This window comes from Homo sapiens, chromosome 4, assembly GCF_000001405.40.
Source record: "Homo sapiens chromosome 4, GRCh38.p14 Primary Assembly".
NCBI lineage: Eukaryota > Metazoa > Chordata > Mammalia > Primates > Hominidae > Homo > Homo sapiens.
The window spans coordinates 156,806,090-156,822,206 of NC_000004.12; the positions used below are offsets into that span (position 1 = coordinate 156,806,090).

Genomic DNA, 16,117 nt, shown 5'->3' on the forward strand with positions numbered 1-16,117 from the left:
ATAAACAAGATTCACTTGTATATTCAAACAAGTATCACTGATTATACATAGTTTTTTAAAATGTAAAATCATAGAAGTGATAGAACAAATCAGGCGGCAACTTAAAGGAAGATGAAGTTCACTGAAGTGTTGTGAGTTAAAGTACTCTTCAGTTCATCCACCCCCTGCCCAGCTTATCAGGCAAAGAAAAAGAGGGTAAATATACATTGACTCAATTTGTATGGTGGCTATAACTTCTAATTCTCTTAATATAAACTGATATACTCATTAAATGGAAAAAAGTAAATAAATTATTGTAAACATTATCATTACTTTGGATCAGAAACCTTAGACTAAGAGACTGAAAAATATAATATTCATTAAAACCATTTAAGAAAAATCAGTGGTAATCATTTTTCATAATGTTAACCAAATTGGAGGGAGAATAAGAAAATCTTCAAATCTCACAGACATTAAAAAAACAACAAATAGCACTGTACTCAAGAAGAATAGTTCTAAATATAAGACTAAAATAACTTTAAAAATTCAGATTTAGATTTGTATATTTTACTTAAAAATAGGTATGGTTTAATTGAAGCAGTTTTCTGACCAAAAAATATGCAGTACTTTTTACTTTTAGAACTGAGAAATAAAACTTTTAATAAAGTCTTTTGATTCTGGAGCAAAAGTTATTATTTCAGCCTTTTTAGGTTTCTTATCATTTTAAATAATGGTGCTTATGCTACAGTACACAGAGTAAAACATATATAATCTATTATAAATTACTCCAAAATTAAACAAGAAATTTTCCTTTCTTTCTAAAAGATCTGAAATGTGTTCTGGGCTCTCACCGTGTGTGGCCTCCAAACAGAAACAAGCTTGCACTGTTTTATTTCAGTTTTGCTTCATTTCTTCCCAAACAATCTCTCACTGCTAATCTACCAGGTCTTTTTTTTTTTTCTCTTTTAGCAGAAAGGGAAAAAAATCAAAGACATTAACTCCTTAGGCACAATCATAAAAGTTGAACACTGTATGTATCATTTGGCATCAATTTGCAGAAATTTATTTTTTATTAGTTATTAATGGAGCATGACTGGAGAATAATATTTCTATAAATAATTCTCTAAAATATCATTGAAATGCTGTAATTTTAAAATTATGTAGCAATTCTAGTACTACTGTTTTAAAAAGCTATAACTAGCTATAACCTCAAGTAAATAACATATGCTAAAGTTATTTCTAAAACTAGGTTTAGTTTATAACACCAAATGAAAAAATGGAGAGAGAAATTTTAATTATGTCTTATTGTAAGGTACCTGTGAATCAAGAAAATGATATGGAAATCCCAATATTGTAAAGGAAAGTACTGATATTTATAATAAATATGTAAAATCTTTAAATATTAGAACAGCATCACTTTATTCAAATGAACAAGTCATCTCTTATTTAACTATATGCTCTGTTATTCATAAACTGAGGAAAAAAAGAGTGGGTAAATCATCTTACAAGGGAGAACATAATTTTTAATGGCAACTTGTGTGGCAAAAACTGTTTCTGAAAATTTTAACTAATGTATTAAAACTCTGCCTCTAAGACACATGGTAATCAGAACCAAGGAGTCTTAACTGTTGACCAGAACCCGATATCCATTTATAGTCCCAAAGAAGGCTACAGGGTTATCTCTTTACCTGTGAAATATAAAGAATTTTAAAATAAACTTAACCCATAATTTGTCCTAGAAAAAAATGTGATTAAACTCACTTAAAATTTTTTCTGTATAGTAATGCATGCAAAATATTCATTGGGTTGATTATGAAAAGTAGATAATGTTAACTGTATATACTAATGTTTATAAAATCATTAGTATGCACTCAATTCTTTAACTTCAGTGGATGTCCCACTAATTCCCACTCCTCACTGCCTCCCCTAAAAAGAAAACCAGGGCAATTATTTAGCTAATGCAAGAATGTGTCTTTGGTAATATAGCGTAATATATTAGGACAGCAGAATATCTGGTGTCATTCCTGTGAGTCTACTGCGTTCCGGTTTATGAATTATCTCTGTTGTGTGAGAGGAACAAAGGTGACATATAATAAATAGGAAGGTAGTATAGCTCCCTGTGGGTTTTGGACAACTCTAAGATGAAATGGCTGAATTTCTATGAAATCTTAATGAGCAGCTACAATGTGAATGGCATTGTGCTAGGCACTCCTGACAAACCTCAATGCAGAAAGTTAATTGTCTACTATAAACTAGTAGTTAATATTATTTTTACTATTACAAAGAAATCATTGTGGCCAGTGGAATCTAAAGTGGAATTTTGCAGAGGTAGGTTTCTAATCAATGAGACCGTTGCCTCTGGGGAACAGAGTGTGCTGACATGAAGTTCATCCAGAGCAAAAAGAGAAAAATAAAAGCATCAGAGATGATCCAGGGGCTTGGAGGGACCCTTGCCCCTGAGCAAAGGCCTCAAGAACTTTTAAGTCTGCTGTCCAGGAGGCACACTTTCTTGCTTTAGGCTTTCATTAATCTGTTACACAGATAAGATTGATGGATTGCACCCTGTTAGCAAAGTGTGGGGGGTGGAGGGGGTGCATGGAGGGAGGGGTGTAATTTAGGAGTACACAATGATAATTCAAAACATTCTGCAAGGCTTAACAGCATAACCACTTGTCAAATTCTAACTCATCAGATCTCACCCTTCTGCAGACAGTTTATTAAGAGTAGAATGAATGTGGCTGTAAGTAGAGAGATGAATGGATATATGGAACCAAGACAAAGGACGGCTGAAGAAATGGCAGGTTAATTGTCAACGTAAATTTAAACACAGAAAAAACAAAGCTTGTGAGATTGTAAAATTCATATAATTTCTCCAGAAAGCAATCTTAAAAATGAAAATCACCAACTTACACTTATTAGGCAATGTAGGACACTACCTTCATTCTCTCCTGTTTCTTCCAGTCCAAAAGCCTATTGTTTTCCTAAACATAGTTTAATTACAAGAACTCCTATGCCTTTACTCCCCACATGTCTCCATTATCTACAGCCCAGAATAGGTCAATGTAGTTGCCACACAAAGCCTGGCTCAATAGAGTCCAGGAGAGTTGACAATAGCCCATTGAAGTCCATATTGACAATTTACCAATCATTGTTAAATGATTAAACAATCATTTAAAAATGTGGTCAATTTAATTTCAATAATGGAACCAATGACATACATTTGGCCTAAAGTCTCCCAGATGTGGTGTCTGGTCTCAGTCACAGTAAATCTCTGATAATAGGTCAACCCTGGTGACAGGACTTTTCTTAGCCAAGAGGATGGATGGCACTTTCAATCAACCTTTGGGTTCTTACTTCATCACAAGTCTTATGAATCTGACAACTTTCACACATATACAGTGAATCCTGTATTAGTTAAGCTGGGTGACTGAATTGCATGATCAACTCAGCATTCAAGTATTTATTGAGAGACTATTATGTGCTCAGAACTGAGCTAGCTGCTATAAATACCATACATATACTATGTCTACTATGTATATGTGTAATACATACATATAGTATGCTTTTATCATTACATATTTGATTTAATCCATATAACTCCTTGGGTTATACAACCAGATAATCTATGTAGTCACAAAATCAGAAAAAAAAACCTTCAGTAGTGATATTTATACGTTAGCTTTTGTGTTTTATTCTATAGGAGGACAGTAGATTGCTATTTATACACATTTAAATTAATATAATATAGACAGAAGTTCATTTAAAATATAAATAATATCCTTAATTTAAAGTTTATTTTGTCACATGTTTGGGATGAATAAAACCTTTGCTCTCACAAAGACCTGCTAGTATGTTTTTTACTACAATTAATATATCCCATATTTAAATATTTGAGAAATATTTCACTTTGTGAAAGTGTATCCATGGCCCTCAACGCCACCCTAGCCTAAAAAATATTAAACTCACTAAGTTCTGTGAAACAAGATACTGTAAAAGTATACTAAACAGATTCTTAGTGGCTTTAATCAAGCAAATAATCAGTATTAAACTATTGCCTATTAATAAAAATGTACATCTTTGTCTATCATTAACATTTTTCATTTACAGGTAGAATTGTTACATTTTATTAAATAAATTTAAAAATATTAAAGTATTATATTAAACTTTAAAAAGTTTTGGAAAGGAACAAAGAAAATGGAACAGAATATATACTGGCAAAAAGTATTTCAGAATGGAGTAGAGTTTGGGATATCTTAAATAAGCTACATAATAAAACTGATCAAAATTCACAATTTATAACATACACAATTTATAACATTTATAACATACTTCAGAGATTTCTCCTTTAACTTCAATCATACATGATAAATGATTCTATTATTACTAAATGAATAAATTGTCATTTTCAAAATTCAGTTTGCATTGTATTGCTTCTTTTTAGCTATACCCTTAACCAATACTTAAATTTCCTTTATTTAATCAGTTGTCTAGATAATATTTCATAGACTCCTGAGCAATCAAACAGGGAAATTTCTGCTTAACAATACACATGAATATGATATAAAATGGTAAATACTGATTTCATATTTTCTAATTTGCCTAATGAATTGCTGGCTTGGCATGTAAGAGTTTTTATTTACATAAAAATGAAATCCCAGCTAGGTTTGTTTTCTGATTTTTTTTCTGATTCTCATGTGTAAGAGGAGAAAAATAAAAAGAAACAAAAAGCTGATCCAATTAAATAAGGGGATCTGAAAGTGGTACTTACTGGCATGACAATGTTGTAGTGGATGCAGAACCCTGGTTCAGAAGGAAAATATTCATCAGATACAAATCTTATCCTAATTTGATTTCCTTTAGAAATCTGTTTTCCTGGTACAGTACCAGAACCACACCAGCGCCCTAATATAGTTCCATCACTGGGTTCCTCAACTTCTACAAAATCATACCTGCAAAAAGACAAAGGGAAAGAGACATCATTTCATAATCTGTTATTCTGGCAATTACAAGTTTCATGTCTGTGGGTGCTATGACTCTACGGACCACAGCAGTGAGTTAATCCAAAATTTAACCGGGAACATATAATTAAGAATTCTAAAGAAGAGACACAACTGAAAATGAGGGCCCAGTTGAAGAACTATGAGTCTCTTTGGAGTCCTTAGTTTTTCTGTTTACGAATTCCAAATTCATTAAATAACCATCCTAAAACTTAAACATTTTGTAAGGAGCAACCCTATCTGACATTCGATTCATGAATTATTGAATATAATTTTCATTTGGACATGACAGTGTGACTCCACTCTTAATTCCTATTATTACTGCCCTTTATTTTCTGAGAGTAACTCTTTCATCCTGGCCAGGGGCCTTGGCTCTTTCCTCATCTGTGATGCAAGCTTTCCTAGAGTCACTTCATTGTATACGCATCTTTCGCACTTCACTTGGTACTGTTCTTCCTTTCTGTGACCTTCCTGGGTGTTCTCAGCTCACTGTCATCTTTCTCGTTTTGATAAACACATATTTCTAACTAACCATATATGTGTATAAGTGATCCATCTTCTTAGGCTGTTAATCCTTGAAGAAAGGAACCAGTTCGTACATATTTCTATTTTACATTTCACTATACACAGTATCTTAAACAGAGGAATAAATGATTGTTTTAAACACATGTCAACTTTTGGTTTGGAAGGTTTGGATCAGTGGTGTTCACTGAGACCATTATTGCCCCATGACAGACTGTTTCACAAATCTGTGGGAACATTTTAGGTTGTCTCAATAATTGGGGGTGAGAAGGGAGTGATTGAAATGTAGCAGGCAAGGTCCACGAATGCCCAACAATGGAAAGTTCTGAAAATGAGTATTTGCCCCATGTCCTCCATGCCTTTCAAATATTTCACTGGACATTTCATGCAGGTGCAAATTCTACTACAGTTCATCTAACTATAAACATCATCTTACATCATCTCATGTATAAACGCATATATGTTTTGCACTGTTTTAGTTAAGATAAATTTTAAATAACGTCAACTATAGAGTAAATTGAGGGAATTTTCTGTGTTTTGTTTTAAACTTAACCAAGAGTTACTCACTTGGAAAAACATGTCACTAACAGGAATACTAGATATACCATTTTCATCCCAACTAAAACAAACATATTCTTATTAGTCTATATTTATAGCTGTTACATTCGCAATGAGTCGACTTAAAAGATGCTAACATTTTCCCTTTATTTTTCTAGGGTAATTGTTACTGTTCATTTATATATTGAAACAGATTATTTTAATATAAATTACTTTGCTATTTTAATAGATTTATATAACATGCAGACAATATATTTATTTTTAAAACAATTTCACATGTAAACAGATAACTGCTTCTATGAATTGCATTTCAGAATACTAAGCAGGGCATTGCAAAACTTTTGTTAAAACGAAGTCTGACATGGTTGTAAACCACTGATAGATTTTTTTCAAAATTTTAAATTCAGTAGATACCAGACTACCAAAAATACTACATTTTACGTAACATTAAACATATGAAAGAAAAAGTTGCTGAAAAAAGACAAAGTGTATAATGAAACAATTATACTTATAAATCTGAAGTATCCAAAACTCTCTTAAGGCATGGAACTTAAACTACTTCAGCTTCATTTTCCTCACTGGTAAACTGGGAATAATGCTACCTAACTCAGAGACATTTGAAGAAAGGAAAAATGGGACAGCACATGTGCAGCACCTAAAACATTGTTTGCACAGAGCTGCCACTCAAGAAAGTTTGTCTCCCATCTCTGTCCTGCACCCCTCCAACCTCTGCACACCTACTTTTTAACATAACCTTGGAAGCTTAAAAGCAGTAAATAAGAAAACACAAAGACAAAGAGGAGATATGATTTTGCTATATCACATGAGAAGTCCAGGGTTATAAGTTACATATACATAAGCCAGCCAGTATAACCATTCCAGGAGTTTTAGTGTATGTGTGTGCGGGATGTGGAAGGGTTAGGCAGTGTATGTGTGTGGTTCGGGGATGGTGGGTATAGCAGACCTAAGTAGATATTTCAGATCTATTTGGCAGAAACGTTGATAATCATCATTTTTATCGAATGGTAATTTTTACATCAGGGTTGTCTACACATGAAACAAAGTTTCTATTCATAAGGATCTGTTTGTTCTGTGCTTGGGAGGTGAGCCTGTGTGATGCAGGTTACCACCACTCATTCGACAGGGATTTATGAAACACTGATTTGGCGCAAACTGCTCTGCTAGATTCTCAGGATACAAACACATAACTAAAGCTTTTTTTGGGTTCTGGGTCCATAAAACACATTGGTAAGTGCTCTAATTAGAGTATGTAAGAAATACTGTGGAATAGTAGAAGAAAGAGTGTAATTTTATACAGTGAGATGAAGGTCAGCTTACAAAGGACTTGACACTTGGGCTTTCAGAGTATTGACTGACAAGGGGTGAAAGGGGTGGGGGATGAAAATGCATTCTAGCAAGAAGTACAATACATAAGATGTAAAGAAGAAAGAAAGCGCTAAGCATGGTCCATTGTGAACTGAGGGTGGGAAACAAAAATCAGATGGAGATCATGGTGGACAAATAGATGCAGGTGAGGTCTTGGTATTGCATGGTAATAAGACATTGGATTATTTGGTAGGCCAATGTTGAAAACATGTAGGCACATTCCAATGGGCTCGATGTCTCTTTAAAAAATTTGTCAACGTTTTAAAAAATGGAATTTCATAGAAAACCTGGATGTTCGGCTTTTAAAAAATTGAAGATCTGGTAATAATAAATATCATTAGCTTTGGGTGACTCCACGAGGGCTCATCTCCAGAATTCGTGTCAGCTCCAGCAAAGGAGATATCTTTGCTTACTTTACTGTCTTATCCTGAGCACCTACACCCCAGGCACATAGTAAACGCTGTGTCAGTATTTGGTGAGTGAAGGAATGAATACTTGGCCTTCATAGCAACTGAGGCTGGGACTAAATGAAAAATGCTTCACATGAGGCATGCTCTTTCTAGTTTTTAAAAATCTCTATCTACTTTCTATGATTTAAAAAAAAAATCCAGATTATCTTCATTTACTTATATTTGCTCTTTGGCATCTGAGTTGGCCACCCTTGCACTTAAGAGGCAGAGCCGCTGGAGGCTTCATAGAGGGGAGTAACACAGACAGGTAATCACCACATGTTCGAGGAATTCGAGGAAACAGTAACATTTCAAGTGTGGGTCAATAGAAAAGATCCTTTAACAAAAGCATCCTGAGAAGGAGCAGTCAGGGAAATAAGAGGGAAGCCACTGTGAGGGAAGGTGCAGACGTTAAGGTAACAGAGAAGAGAGAATTTCACCTGAAGCAGGAGTGGTCAATAATGCCAAGTGCCAAAGAAAGATCAAAGAGGTGAAAACTAAAAAGTATCATTGGATTTGGCCAGGATGAAGTCATTTCAATACACTGCTTCAGCAGAACACATTGTGTACAAAATTTTCTTGAGACCATTTTTCAAAATAACCATTTTAATCTTCCTAATAAAAAAAGCATCCTAAAGAGAAAAGAATATTCTCTTCAGGAAGTCTAAAATTAACAACTCAAATAGCTACTTTACTATATATTATTTTCTTTTTATTTCTGTTTAAAAATAAACTACCTCATATGTTATATGATCTGTAACTTCTTTAAAAGTATTTTAAAAAGGGCTTTAACGACACAAAAATATCTAGATTAAAATGTTAACACTTTATTAAGAAACAAAAATATCTTAACTTTTGCCTTCTCTGATTTATGTCGATACAAAATCCACTGTCCTGTAAATAGGAGAAGGGTGATGAGCATATTATTACTTATTTCATGAAGATTTCCAACTGAATTTGATGCCATTTGGAAAATAATCCTTATGAAAATTTCTGGATTTGCAGCGAGACAGCTGGCAACTAATTCTTACATGCTCATGCAAGTCTAGTGCATATATTTATGACAGTGCTTTGAAAAATCTATATAGTTTTGTTCTCCATAAAGTTTAAGTGAAACAAACATCTAATAAGGTACTGTGTTGTCTATAAAACAGTAGAACTTAGCATATGCTACTAATAGTTTCATAATAAATTAGGCATTTCAAGATTTTCTCAGAACTCGTGTCATACAAAAATATATAATTCCAAATTCATGCAATTATTCTACCATTAATTTTTATCGTCACACACAATAACTATTAAGACATCTATGGAATTTAAAGTTATTAATGAAATAATTTTTTACACACACACACACACACACACACACACACACACACACACACACCCCGTTGTCACTTCATTCCATATTTCCTTTCAACTGGTTTGGGAATGCATAGTGAGGATAGAAAAAGAATAATGCATTAAATCAGGTCGTCTGCTTTAACAACTTGATATTTTTCTTATTTTCTGACACAACACCATTTGCAGAATATGGGATTCACAGCAAAGGTTGGTTGGCTGATATATGCTAACATAGCCCAAACATCAAGAAGAGAATGAAGAGAGAAAACAATGATGAAAAATGTATCTGTGGGCCATAGCCAAATGAAAAGAGGATGATAAAACTAAGCAATATTGACACATAAAAGTGAAATCACAAAACACAGTCATCCTTAAATTCAGAAATCTACACATGCCCAGGTGACTGCTCTGGAGACATGGTAATCCTTATAATACACTCTCAGGTATTAATTTCCAATGTGCACAATTGGCCACGTCAGTATTTAAAGGATTTACTAAACCTATTTTATGAGCCAATCAAACATCACTTTCTCATGGCAACATGATACAGAGCATACAGGGCTAAGTGGTTTATAATGATCACTCCCTTTCTCTAACACACCCCTGGGGACCTGTGGAGGATTTACGTTCTTTTATGTTTAACAAACAAGTCTGGTGTTGTAGACAAAATTTTCGTTCTCATGTGGGAATTAGAAAACTGTGAGGCCATGAGGACGTCTTTCTTACTCCTGAGAATTTTAAGGAGTATACCAAAGAAATGAATTCATTAGTAAACATAATTGTCAGACACTCAGCTTCTTTCAGCAAAAATAAACCAAGCCTGCAAAACAGGCTGTTTCTAGTTCATGCTAACTAAAACCCTGTCAATTAAATCTACCCTATGAATTATCAAACCTGTCAGTAGTGTGAAAGAAACCCTGCCAACAAATGAATGTGGATTTTAAAAAGGCCTAGCCCTGCAAATGTCAACTGGAGTCTAAGCTTGTTGAGAAAGGTAATAAAATTAAGAAGATGACAAACATTCTACAGTGTGTATTGGCTTATGCTTTAGTTTAGCAGAATGCAACTGGTACACAAAAATAGAAGTATTAGATTACCACTTCAACAGCAAATTGTTTATCTATGCTTTAAATTATAATAAAAATAATTCAAAAAATAATAATAATTACATTTACTAAGTGATTCCTATGTGACAGACACTGTTTTTTCTTAGGTACTTTTTATATAGTAACTCATTTAATCCTCACAACAATCATAAAAATTAACACTTTTCCTCCATCCAGTCTATTAGTTACAAAATATAGAAAAGATAAGTAACTTGAACAAGGTCACACCAGCAACTAACTGCAAAGCGAAGGCTTCATTCTCACGAGTCAAACCTTAGAGCCCATGCTCTTAAGTGCTAAGCCACATTGCTTATTATATTTAAAATATGCCTATATAATTATATCTGCTTTATTTTAAGGCCTAACTGCAGAGAATTTCTGTATCTCTATTCAGATTGGCCAAAAGGTCTTTTTCAGCGACTGGAGAAATATTAGGGCCATACAGATAAAACTGAATAGTCAATGTGGTAATTTAGGCCTATAAATTTTATAGAGATTTATTTTAATTAATTTGGTAATATTTATTAACAGCCACTCTAAATTCTTTATGAAGAGTTTTAACCCTACTTGGAAATGTGTAAGTAAAACCAATAGGCATGCTTCACAGGACTCACAACACATGAATGGGTAATTCTCATGAAACCATGAAGAGTTCTACTTGTGAGAAATGCTTACAAATGTTATGTGGTGAGAAACTACTCATTTAAAATCATGTTATTACTAAAAAAAAACTACAAATATATAAACCATGAGGTCAACTTACAAAGCTAGAAAAATTAAGCAAATCAAAACAAAATATCAGGTGAAAATTAATAAAGACAAAAGCTGTAAGAGATATAATCAAAATTAAAGTTAAAATTCAGAATTAAAACAAAAAGCTGATTCTCAACAAGGGGTTAGAGAGAGAATAAATCGAGAATTTACAAAATTAGCAATGAGGAAGAAGATATAATCACAAGTAAGACTATATTTTAAAAGTATAAGTATATTTTATGTAACTTTATGCTAATTAAACCTGAAAAATTAGATAAAATGGATGACTAAGAAAATGCAAAGTATCAATATTTACTGGAAAAGTAGAAAAAGTTAAGATACTAATAACTCTAGAAGAAATGAAAAGGACTGTCAAGGATTACTTGGGAGGTCAGGAGAGCATGACTAGCTTGGGCAACATGGAAAGACCCTGTCTCCCTCTCTCTTTTAAGAAAAAAGATGCAGTAACATGGAGTTTCATAGGAGAGTTCTATTTAACTCTAAAAGAACATATCATTCCAATTTTATATGAACAATTTTTAATTTGACCAGCGCAGCTATCCTCCCCATTAAATTTTAAAATGCTAGGCTAGGGCTGGGCGTGGTGGCTCATGCCTGTAATCCCGGCACTTTGGGAGGCCAAGGTGGGCAGATCACCTGAGGTCAGGAGTTCAAGACCAGCCTGGCCTACATGGTGAAACCCCATCTCTACTAAAAGTACAAAAATTAGCCTGGCGTGGTGGCGGATGCCTGTAATCCCAGCTACTCAGGAGGCTGAGGCAGGAGAATTGCTTGAACCCAGGAGGTGGAGGTTGCAGTGAGCCAAGATCACGCCAACGCACTTCAGCCTCGGAGACAAGAGCAATACTCCGTCTTAAAAAAAAAAAAAAATTCTAGGCTAAATCTTGTATCAAAGTTCTTTGAAATGGCAATACTAGATACTAAAAATTAAGCTAATTTCACTCTTAAATAGAATAAAATGCAAAAATTCCCAAGTAAATTGTAATCAAATATAATTTGATTAAAAGATATACACTCAATGCATTTTCTTGCTCTTCACAGATACCGCGTTTTTTACAATTGAAAATTTATGGCAACCCTGTGTGAAAAGCAAGTCTATTGGAACCATTTTTTTCTGACAGCATGTGCTCACTTTGTGTTCCTGGGTCACATTTTGTGTTAACTCAGCAATGGAGCTGTTTTGCCTTCATATCATTTAGTGTCTTCACCGGAGTTGTGCTCATCACTTCCTTCAACTACTTTTCTTTTGCAGTCACAACTTGTCTAACTGGTGCAACATGCCTTCCTCACTAAGTGTCATTCTTTCTAGCTGTTTTTTTTTTTTTTTTTTTTTTGAGACGGAGTCTCGCTCTGTCGCCCAGGCTGGAGTGCAGTGGCGCGATCTTGGCTCACTGCAAGCTCCGCCTCCTGGGTTCACGCCATTCTCCTGCCTCAGCCTCCCGAGTAGCTGGGACTACCAGGCTAATTTTTTGTATTTTTAATAGAGACGGGGTTTCACTGTGTTAGCCAGGATGGTCTCGATCTCCTGACCTCGTGATCCGCCCGCCTGGGCCTCCCAAAGTGCTGGGATTACAGGCTTGAGCCACCGCACCTGGCCCACTCTTTCTAGCTTTTGATTTAAAGTGAGAGACAGTGACTCTTTCACTTGAACTCTTAGAGGCCATTTTAGCGTTAATTGGCCTTGTTCCAATATTCTTGTATCTCAGGGAATAAGGAGGCTCAAGGAGAGGGAGAGGACCTTGCCACATAATAATGAAAAAGTTTGAAATAATTGCTCAAATTAAAAAAATGTGCCACAGCATTCCTAAGCCAAAGCCTAGTCCAGAGCAAGGTCCTAACTCTCTTTAATTCTATGAAGGTTAAGAAGGGTAAGGAAGCTACAGAAGAAAAGTTGGAAGCTAACAGAGGTTGCTTCATGAGGTTGAATGAAGGAAGCCATTTTCATAACATAAAAGTGCAAGGTGAAGCAGCAAGTACTGATGGAGAAGCTGCAGCAGGTTATCCAGAAGATCAACTAAGATAATTGATAAAGGTGGATATGCTAAAAAAAACACCAGATTTTCAGTGTAGATCAAACAGTCTTCTATTGGAAGAAGATGACATCTAGTAATTTGATAGCTAGAGAAGAAAAGTCAATGCCTGGCTTCAAAGTTTCAAAGGACAGGCTGACTCCCTTGTTAGGGGCTAATGCATCTGGTGACTTTACGTTGAAGCTAATGCTCATTTACCATTCCAAAAATGCTAGGGCTCTTAAGAATTATGCTCAGTCTACTCTGCCTATGCTGTATCAATGGAACAACAAAGCCTGGATGATGGCACATTTGTTTACAGCATGGTTTACTAAATATTTTAAACGTACTACTGCTCAGAAAAAAAGATTCTTTCAAAATATTACTGCTCATTTGCAATCCACCTGGTCACCCAAGAGCTCTGATGAAGATGTACGTATAAGGAGATTTACATACAAGGAGATTTATGTTTTCATGCCTGCTAACTCAATATCTATTCTGCAGTCCATGGGCCAAGGAGTAATTCTGAGTTTTAAGTCTTATTATGTAAGAAACATATTTCACAAGGTAATAGCTGCCATGGATAGTAATTCCTCTGGTGAATCTGGGCAGAGTAAACTGAAAATCTTCTGGAAAGGATTCACCATTCTTGATGCCATTAACAATATTCATGATTCATGGGAGGAGGTCAACATATCAACATTAACAGGAGTTTGGAAGAAACTGGTTCCAATCTTCACGGATAAATCTGACAGGTTCAAGACTTTGATGGAGGAAGTAACTGCACAGGTGGTGGAAATAGCAAGAGAACTAGAATTGGAAGTGGAACCTGAACAGGTAACTGAATTGCTGCAATTTCATGATAAACATTGAATGAATGAGGAGTTGCTTCTTATGGATGGGCAAACAAAATGGTTTCTCAAGGTTGAAATTTTTCCTGGTGAAGATGCCATGAACACTGTTGAAATGACAACAAGGGATTTATAATATTCCATAAACTTAGTTGATAGAGCAGCAGCAGGGTCTGAGAGAACTGACCTACAATTGCAAAAGAAGTTCTACTGTGGGTAAAAGGCTAGCAAATAGCACTTAATGCTACAGAGAAATATTTCATGGAAGTAAGAATCAATCAACATGTCAAAGTTCATTGTTGTCTTATTTTAATAAACTGCCACAGCCACTCAAACCTTCAATAAGCACCACCATGATCAGTCAGCAGCCACCACATTGAGGCAGGATGTGAGCAAAAAGATGAGAACTCAAATTTCTGATATAATGCTACTGCATACTTAATAGACTACAGTATTGTGTGAACTTCAGTTTTATAAGTACTGAGAAACCAAAATATTCACGTGATTGTATTGTGATATTTGCTTTATTGCAGTGATCTGGTACCTAACCAACAATATCTCCAAGGTACGCCTGTAATACTTTATGACTGAGTATGGCTTTAGTTCATGAATATGAAGATGAACTAAGAATGACCCTTCAGAATAGTAAGAGGAGAAAAAAAATATATGATCATACTCATAAACACTGAAACAATATAATAAAATCAACAACTTAGATAAAAACTGGGTAAACTGTGAATAGCATAAAATTTCAAATCAAGGTAAAACATTATTCAACAGAAACTAGAGGCAGTATATTGGATCAAATTAAAGGTAATTCTCATTAAAGTTAGAACAAGGATAGGGCTGGCCATTCTCACCATTAGTTTCCAATATTTTGGAAAAAGGCTCTAGCTGTTTTAGTAACAGAATAAGATAAAAAGTTGTAATAGATACAGAAGAAACAAACGATCCTTAGTTAATAATAGATTCCCATGAGAACAGATTGTGGTCGGGTAAGCACAGAGGCTAGAAGAGCCTGGCAATAATTCAGGAGTGGGACAAGATGGCTTGGAGTATATATAGTATGAAAGTTGAGACATCCCAAGGAATGTTGCCTGTTGTATGTGTGTGTGTGTGTGTGTGTGTGTATGTGTGTGTGTGTGTGAATGTGTGTGAGAGAGTGTGAGTATACAATTTTTTTTGAAACCGTCTCACTCTGTCATACAGGCTGGAGTACAGTGGTGCAATTACAGCCCACTGCAGCTTTGATCTCCTGGGCTTAAGCAATTCTTCCTACCTCAGCCTCCCAAGCAGCTGGGACTACAGGTGCGAGGCATCACATCTGAATTTTTTTTTCTTTTTTTTTAACTTTTTGTAGAGATAAGGGTCTCACTATATTGCCCAGGCTGGTTTCAAACTCCTGGGCTCAAGTGATACTCCCACCTCGGCCGCCCAACATGCTGGGGTTACAGATGTGAACCACCACTCTCTACGTATATTTATTTTATTTTATCTTTTCGAGACAGGGTCTTGCTCTGTAGCCCAGGCTGGAGTGCAGTGGTATGATCTTGGCTCACTGCAATCTCTGCCTCCTGGCTTCAAGCGATTCCGGTTCCTCAGCCTCTGGCGTAGCCGGGATTACAGGTGTGCACCACCATGGCCTGGCTAATTTTTTGTATTTTTAGTAGAGACGGGGTTTCTCTATGTTGGCCAGGCTGGTCTTGAGCTCCCGGCCTCAACTGATCCCCCTGCCTTGGCTCCCAAAGTGCTGGGATTATAGGCTTGAGCCACCGTGCCTGGCTGCCAATGTGGATATACTTTTAAGGTAGATTTGACAGAACTTAGTGTGGGGTATGAGAGAATGACAGGGGTCAAAAATGATTCCAAAACTGCTGGCTTTTATAATCTATCTGGAACTAATAAGGGAATTCAGTAAAGGGACTGAATTTAGGACCAATATACAAATATCAAAAATTTTTCTTTAAGACAGAGAAAAACAAAACCTGAATATCAGGGATAAAAATGTCTTTCATAGTGAAATTTAAAAAGTGGCCTGTAATCCCAGCAGTTTGGGAGGCCAAGGCGGGTAGATCACGAGTTCAGGAGATCGAGACCATCCTGGCTAACACGGTGAAACCCCATCTCTACTAAAATTACAAA

At 35.3% G+C, this 16,117-nt stretch overlaps 1 protein-coding gene across 7 annotated transcripts in view; it reads right to left on the reverse strand.

The window, feature by feature from the left end:
* PDGFC (platelet derived growth factor C) overlaps positions 1 to 16,117 on the reverse strand; it is a 211,346-nt gene that overhangs the window by 45,636 nt on the left and 149,593 nt on the right. For all 7 annotated transcript variants that reach the window (NR_036641.2, NM_016205.3, XM_017008455.2 and 4 more), the window contains one exon: positions 4,748 to 4,928. Coding sequence is in view for 6 of the 7 variants with exons in the window: in NM_016205.3 (NP_057289.1) it covers positions 4,748 to 4,928 (181 nt within the window). In the remaining variant the exon portion in view is untranslated. The remainder of the gene's footprint in view (positions 1 to 4,747; positions 4,929 to 16,117) is intronic.